Here is an 8,196-nt window from a genome sequence, read left to right as displayed (position 1 = left end):
CAAATTTATCTCATGTGTAGGTTCATATATTCACCATGAAATCAAATTACAAAACACTATTGTCACCACAGGGATGTCTTGCATTGCCCTTTTATAATCATATCCACTTCTCTTTTGCTTTCCCCTCCTCCTTCTTACAACTGGGAAACCTCTAGTTCATAGTTCTCCATTTCTATATATATTTTTCCATTTCAAAAATATTATATAAATAAAATAATATAATATGCAGCCTTTTTAAGTTAGCTTTTTCCCACTTAATTATATTTACTAATTCAAGCATATTTGGCTGTTTCTGTTTTTTTTTACTATTATGAAAAAAGCTATGGATATTTGTGCACAGATTTTTTTGTGAACCTAAATTATCATTTTTCTGGGATTAATGGCCAAGTGTGTAATTATTGGGTAGTATTGTCATTGCACGTTTGGTGTTTTTAAGGAACTGCCAATTATTTTTTCCGTAATGGCTGTACTAATTTATTAATGTAACCTCTGCTGCTCTTTGTAAATTAGTGTTTGGCTAGTATATGACTTTCCACCCTTTAATTTTAACCAACCCATGTAATTGAATTTGAAGTCAGTTCCTTATAGACAGTAAATGGATACATCATCTTCTTTTTTTTTTTTTTTTGTTAATCCACTCTGTCAATCTCTGTCATTTGGTATATTCAGGTCATTTATACTTAAGGCAATTAGTGATATGTTAGAACTTGATTTTGTTACTTTATATTATTTGTTTTCTCTGTTTCTTATTCCTTTTTTTTTCTTTTCTTTTCTTTTTTTTTTTTTTTTTTTTTTTTTTTTTGCAATTGTGTAGATTACCTAGACATTTTCCTGGATCCTTTCTTGATTTTGTTATATTATATTTGAATGTGATTGCTCTGGGTATTGCAATGTATATATGTGAATTATCAGAGTCTGTTGGTATCAGCATTTTATTTGTTCAAGTGGAGTGGGAAAAGCTTACTTCCCTTTAGATTTCTTTACGTTTCCCACTTTTAAATATCATTACCTTGAGTATCAGATGGTATTGTAATTTGTTTACATATGATTAGATTTTGATTAGGTATGATTTATAAAACTCATATGATAAATTTTATTTTATATATTAATATTTCTTCACTTTTCATTGATCTGTCTTGTTCTCGAATTTCCTTATTTTATCATTTCTTTTTTAAAAATAATTTTCTTTAGCCAATCGTTAAGAGTAAGTCTTATGGCAACAAATTATTTTAGTTGTCTTGTATCTAATATATTTTCCCTTTTATTCCTACTGTTTGCCATTTAGATAATTCAAAATTAATAGATTTTTTGTTTCCTAGAAGTAATGTGTCATTTCTCTCAATGATTTCAAGACTTTTTTCTTTGTTTTTAGTTTTCAGAAGTTTAATTATGATATTATATTGATGTAAATGTATTTGAGGTTCACACAGCTTCTTGACTCTGTTGCTATATGTCTTCTGCCAGATTTTGGAAGTTTTCAGCCATTATTACTCCAAATACTTTTCTAGCTCATCTTTTTTCTCCACTCCTCCGGAACTCTGATAATATAATTGGGGGTCCTTTGTCATTGTTCCACAGGTCCCTGAGGCTGTGTTCATTTTTATCAGCCTATTTTGTGTTGGCAGTATTTTCTTATTGCTGTAGTAACAAATCCCCAAAATTTAGTAGAACAAAACAACACAGTTTTATTCTCTTACATTTCTAGAGGTCAAATATCACTCGGCTAACATCAAGGTTTTGGCAGGATTGAGTTTCTTCTGGAAGCTCTAGGAAGGAATACTTTTTCTCCTGTATTCCAGCTTCATTGTCCATTTTCAAAGCAAAAATCACATTTATATGACATCTGTTTACACCATCATATCTCCTCTGATCCTGAATCTCTTGCCTCCTTTTTTTCCTTTATAAGGACCTTTGTGATTATATTGAGTACACCCAGATAATCTAGTATAATCTTTCCATTTTAAGATCCATAATTTGATCACTTGTGCAAAGTCACTTTTGTAATGTAAATTTACATATTCACAGATTCCAAAGATTGGGACATGAATGAGGGACCATTATTCTATTAATGTCCACCCACTGGCTGCTAAATGTTTTTATTTGTCCCACATGCAAAATGCTTTCACACAACCCAATTCCAACATTCCTGAAAGTTTTGACCCATTACAGCATCAAAGTCCAAAGATCTCATGTAAATATGATCAGTTCAAAATTCCCAAATCTCATAATCTAAATCAATTATAAATAAGATTCAGTATAATGCATCATGAGACATAATTTTTTTTCTATCTGTAAATTTTTGAAACTAGAAAAAATGTTGGTGTTTTCTCCCAAAATACAGTTGTGAGCCAGGCACAGGATACCAGTTATGGGAATTTCCATTTCAAAAGAAGAAAATGGAAGAAAAAAAAATCACCAATATCCAGCAATTTTGAAATCCAAAGTGGCAAATTCCATTAAGCCTTGGAGGTAATCTTCCGTAGCTTCCAGCTTCATTTTCGGTCTCCTTTCTTTCTTTTCTTTTCTTTTCTTTTTTTTTTTTTTTTGAGATGAAGTTTCGCTCTTGTTGCCCAGGCTGGAGTGCAATGGCACAATCTCGGCTCACAGCAACCTCCACCTCCCGGGTTCAAGCCACACTCCTGCCTCAACCTCCCAAGTAACTGGGATTACAGGCATGTACCACCACGCCCAGATAATTTTTGTATTTTTATTAGAGACAAGGTTTCTCCATGTTGGTCAGGCTGGTCTCAAACTCCCGACCTTAGGTGATCTGCCTGCCTCGGCCTCCCAAAGTGTTGGGATTACAGGCATGAGCCACTGTGCCCGGCCTGTCTTCTTTCTTTTTAATCAGCACATTTGCGGCTGATTAGTTTTATCAGGCCGTTTCCTGCCTATATTATTTGGTCCTTTTTTTTTTTTTTTTTTTGTCTCTTTCAGTCCAAGCTGACAGTGTTTCTGCTTGTATCGTAACTCAAAGCGCTTGTGGATCTCTCATGCATGTCACAGAGATTCAGCCCATTAGAGAAGACAGTGGGCCTACACAGATCTTTCCTGTATAATCCCATCTTTATCCTGGCCTCTGCTGAGATTGCTGAAAAGACTCAGAAGTCACATGCCTAATCTAGTACCTTGATTTTCCCAAGGTACTAGAAAGAGCTTTAAAAAAAAAAAAAAAAGGGTTGGGGAGGGACAGCCACACCCTTTGCTTTTTCTCCAGAGCATGTTTTTAGTGAATCTCCCAATTTTAGCATCTTTTGCTCCCTAGATAGGCTGAAAATTTCCCAAATAATGAAATACTTGATCCTTTTTTCTTAAGGTTTTCTTTCTCAATTTATCTTCTTTGTTTTCTGTTTTGCCATAGCAGCAAGAAGACAGCAGGCCAAGGCTTCAATACTTTGCTTGGAAGCTTCCTGAGCTAAATATTCAAGTTGGTTGTTAAATATATTTTGCTTTCCAAATACCTAAAGGGCACAGTGCAGCTAAACTTTCCACTACTGTACATCAAAGACCTCCTTTCCTTGAGTTTCCAGTAACATGTTTCTTATTTCATTCTGAACCCTCATTGGTAGTACCTTTAACAACCATATTTCTACCACAATCTGTTCCTGATGATTTTGGTATTTCCCACGATGACACATGTTTTCTCTTTCCCACTCCCCCTCCCCTCCTTCTGAGTTCTTTCAAGTAAAGTAATTAATAACCATTTATCTCTACTGATAGTTTGATTAAGGCAATCTAGGCTTTTTCTATTAGGCTTCTCAAAATCATTTTTGGCTCTATCCATAATGACTTCCACATTTTAGATACATATTAGAGCAGCATCTTAATTTCAAACTCCAAAATCTCTGTTGGTTTTTCAGTACTGGTATACCAAATCACTACTCTGAGGAGACATTATTCTGACTACTACAAACTTTAGAGTACAATGATGCAAACGTGTTACCTTACATAATTCTCGCTGGACTAAAATCAAGATGTTGGTAGAATTGTACACTTTCTGGAGAATGTAGAAGAGAATTCATTTACTTCTAGAGGCCAACTCTATTTCTTGGCTTGCAGCTCCATCATTTATCTTCAAAGTCAGCAATCACACCACTATGATATCTATTCCTATTGTCACTTTTTCTTGTTTATCTCAGACTCTCTTAACTGTCTGTTATGAGGACTCTTGTGACATAGGGCACACCTTAGATAATCTAAAATAATCCCTCCATCTCAACTCTTTAACTTAATCACATCTGCAAAATTTATTTTCCCTGTAAGGTAAAATATTCACAAATTCCAGGTATTAAAACGTGGATATCCTTTGGGGACCATTAGTCTGTCTATCACACTTATGTGCTGCTTAATATAGGTACCTCCTTAAACCCATTCCCATTCTGCCTACCACATCATTGCTCGGAGTGGGTAACATTATTGACCCATCCTCACATTCATTGATTTTATCCTCTGTCATATCTGCTAACTTCTCATGTTAGAACAGGGTTCAGAAAATGCTGATTATAGATTACCTCCTTCTTTAGAGTGGGGAGACATATTACACTCTGTTGCTGTGTTTTTCCTTCAGCCCTGAAGTCCCAATCCAGTTTGCCTCCCTCTTTTCACCTTTCATAGTTCCTTTTTGTCTGCCTATTCCATATGTTTAGGATATATAGCTGTACTTAACAGGAAGGGAGAAATGAGTCTAGTGGGTCTATGGCATCAGCTATGGTTTGAATATCTGTACCCTCCGAAATTAATGTTGTGCTCTATTACCTGTCAGAAATGTATATTTGTTTTTGGGCTTTCAGAATTTCTGGTGTTGGACATATATTAAATGATAACTTTGTGATAAAAGCTACTTTTGTGCTTAGCATGGAATCTCATTGCAGGTATAATTACATTTTTGTAGTAAAAGTATAATCTTCAATATAAACATTCACACATGTACTCTATTCTTGCTTAAATTTTAAATTAAATTATATTTAAACCTACCTAGTTTTAACCTGAATGACAGTAAAAACTAAGCAAAAGGAATTTATCTGGATGTCAGGGGACAAAATTTTTCTAAGTAAACAAATTTATAAAGTACGTACATTGCTAGGACATTTTCAAAACAAAACCCCAAAAAGTTATGATTTATGTGCTGCAAGGAAGTTAGAAAAATTAAACTCAGAAACTTGTAAATAAAAAATAACTCCTAATATTAAACTCTAGGTAAGAGACTTTTAGAAAAATAAACATTAAATTTTCCATATTTATTATTCCTAGCATCTCTTGCCCATTGTTTAAACTTTAAAAGTGTTCCTTTAATCTACTTAAACAATTAATTTAAGGAAGCAGTAAAGCAAGTTAAGCACAAAATGTTTTCTTTACTTACAAATCCATTGATTATTCTTAACTTTTCCTTATACCACGAAAAGCTCATTCTTTTCTCTCATATTTGTTCTCATTTATTTGCTATAATTTCTTGAGTCTGCTTTTTATATTCTTACACTCATTTAACTGATATGATTAACACCTATCACAATATAATAGCCTTGCTCATATACTGTAATTCATATTCCATCTTTTAAAACATCTTTCATCTTAACTAGATTTTAAAATCCTCAGGGCAGGAGATCTATCTTATATTTGCCTCATGTCTTTTAAATGTGCATTCTACTTTATCTGACTCCACAATTATCAATTTCTAATTGATGAATTGTTCAGTGCAGGAAAAATCTAGCTCTGGAGCCACAAACTTCCCTCATGGATCTCTCACCACATCCATACTTAGCTACTTTATTTCTATGATTCACTCTCTATCACTGTTACATTTATGGACCACTTGAAAAATATTGTACTGTCATGTGTGCTGCGCCTTCTACTGGTTGTATTTTACTATTAATTAGTCAACATGATGATACTACCGTATTTGTTTGATTCGGAGCTTAGTTATCAGTATTTTTTATTGAAAAGTTCACAGAATTATAGAATATAATTGCTTAAAAATAATCCACTTAATGTCTCTAATAAGACTAGATGAGCAAAATTGTCACAAGTTTCAAACATAGTAGGCATAAAAACGTTGATTGTTTCAAACTATAGAACATATCTGAAAAGTTATAATATTATAAACTGAAGCTAAATTGAAAGCGACGGCGGTTCACATTAAAATAGGTAAACTCATTCAGAGATAAATCTGAGAGAAAGAGGTGACAAATTATGATCTCTGTTTGAAAATATAGTATCGGTCAGGATCCTGGTATAAAATAAATGGTACACTCAAATCTAGATAATTTGAAAATGTACTTACAAAGAAATAATTTACAGAAGTGTTTCTCACAAATGAGAGATCCTGAAGGTTAAGCTTTATTAGCTTTTAGGTAATTTTAGGCCTAAAAAGAATTCCATTTGTTAAGAAAGATTGCTATAGTCACATTTAATATATATATGTATTAATATAATATAATTATATATCTATGTATGCATACATAATATGTTATTATATATTATAATTATGTATTATAATACAGATATAATCTCTATCTAAATAAATACATAATATAAGTATATAATCATAAATTATATAAAATTTTGCTCATATGGACTTCAGGTTCTCTCACTTCCAAGGACCACTTCTGTAAATTATATGTATCTGTATATATTCCATTATATATAATATAATATATATTATGTGTGTACATACACACATTATTATATTAATAAATATATTAAATGTGACTATAAGAATTCTTAACACATAGAATTCTTTTTATAATATATGATATATGATATATTATATGTATTATATACATAATATATTATATATCATATATTATACATAATATTACATATAATATATATTATATACAATATATGTGTGTTTAAAATAACTGTATAATTATTTTATATGATATATTATATTATATATTATATATGTGTGTTTAAAATAATTGTATATTAAATAATTGTATAATTGTTTAATATAATTGTATAAGTGTGTATTTATTTTAAACATATATAATATAATATATTATCTATATTATATATAATATAGATAAAATATTATATATAATATATAATATCATAGAAATAAAGTAGTTAGGTGTGAATGTGGTGACAGATCCATGAGGGAAGTTTGTGGCTCCAGAGCTAGATTATATTATATATTAAATAATATCATATATATTATATTATACATTAAATAATACATATATATTATATTATATGTTAGATATTTGATATCTAATTAGATATTAGATATTAGATATATTAGATATTAGATATTATATAGATATTATATAATAATAGATATTAGATATTATATAATTTATAATATATATGTGTTTAAAATAAATATACAATTATATTGTGTAAAATTTTATGTCTTTGTGTGTGCATATATATAATTTTTAAAAATAAATATACAAATAGAGTCTAAATTATAAGTTGAAACTTATATGTATATATGGATACTTGTATACCCTCGAGTGAAATTTAGTCACATGCCCAACAATGTCCCAAGGAATGGAAGATCTTTCTTCCCGGTCATGATTGGTGTATTACAGTGAGAGTAATAAGGAGGAAAGGGCACTGTTGATGTTAAGGTAGACGATGTCTGCCAGAACAGCAATTCTTGATTCTCAGAAATTAATTTCTTGTATTCATTCCTGCAAACATTTATTAAACTATTACTATGGGTCAGGTACTGTTCACATACTTTTTATTGATGGCACCAGGATTTGGACCTGTTATGTTATTTATTATGTTATGTTATTCTTAATCAAATTGTAAATATTTAGTTCTACTATCCTTTCAAAATCAATATAATACTTCTGATATTTATACATTTAAGTTAAAATTAAGGTTTTGTTTGTTATAAAAACTCACTGTGGTGTTATTATTTTTAACAATGACCACTAAAGGCAGACATGGAAAATTAAGAATTTATTGTCATTAGTTTGGGTAAAATTTATTGAAGCTGTTGTGAAAGTGGAAAAAATATCTAAATCATACTTCCAAAATAGAAATGACAGAATCTGAGCATTGATTGCAGTTAGATCATTGCCATCTTTCTCTCCTTAGCGATCTATCTGCAATCAATGCTCAGATTCTGCCATTTCTATGGTCCTCAGCAGGGAGCTCCTCTCTGCTCATTGTTTTGTTCATTCTCTGTATTCTGACAGCTACACGGGAAACTCTGGGGCTCAGATATCGCTCTTCTTTCCTAAT

This window comes from Homo sapiens, chromosome 4 (assembly GCF_000001405.40).
Source record: "Homo sapiens chromosome 4, GRCh38.p14 Primary Assembly".
NCBI classification, from domain to species: domain Eukaryota; kingdom Metazoa; phylum Chordata; class Mammalia; order Primates; family Hominidae; genus Homo; species Homo sapiens.
Note: the sequence above shows the minus strand (reverse complement) of the source record.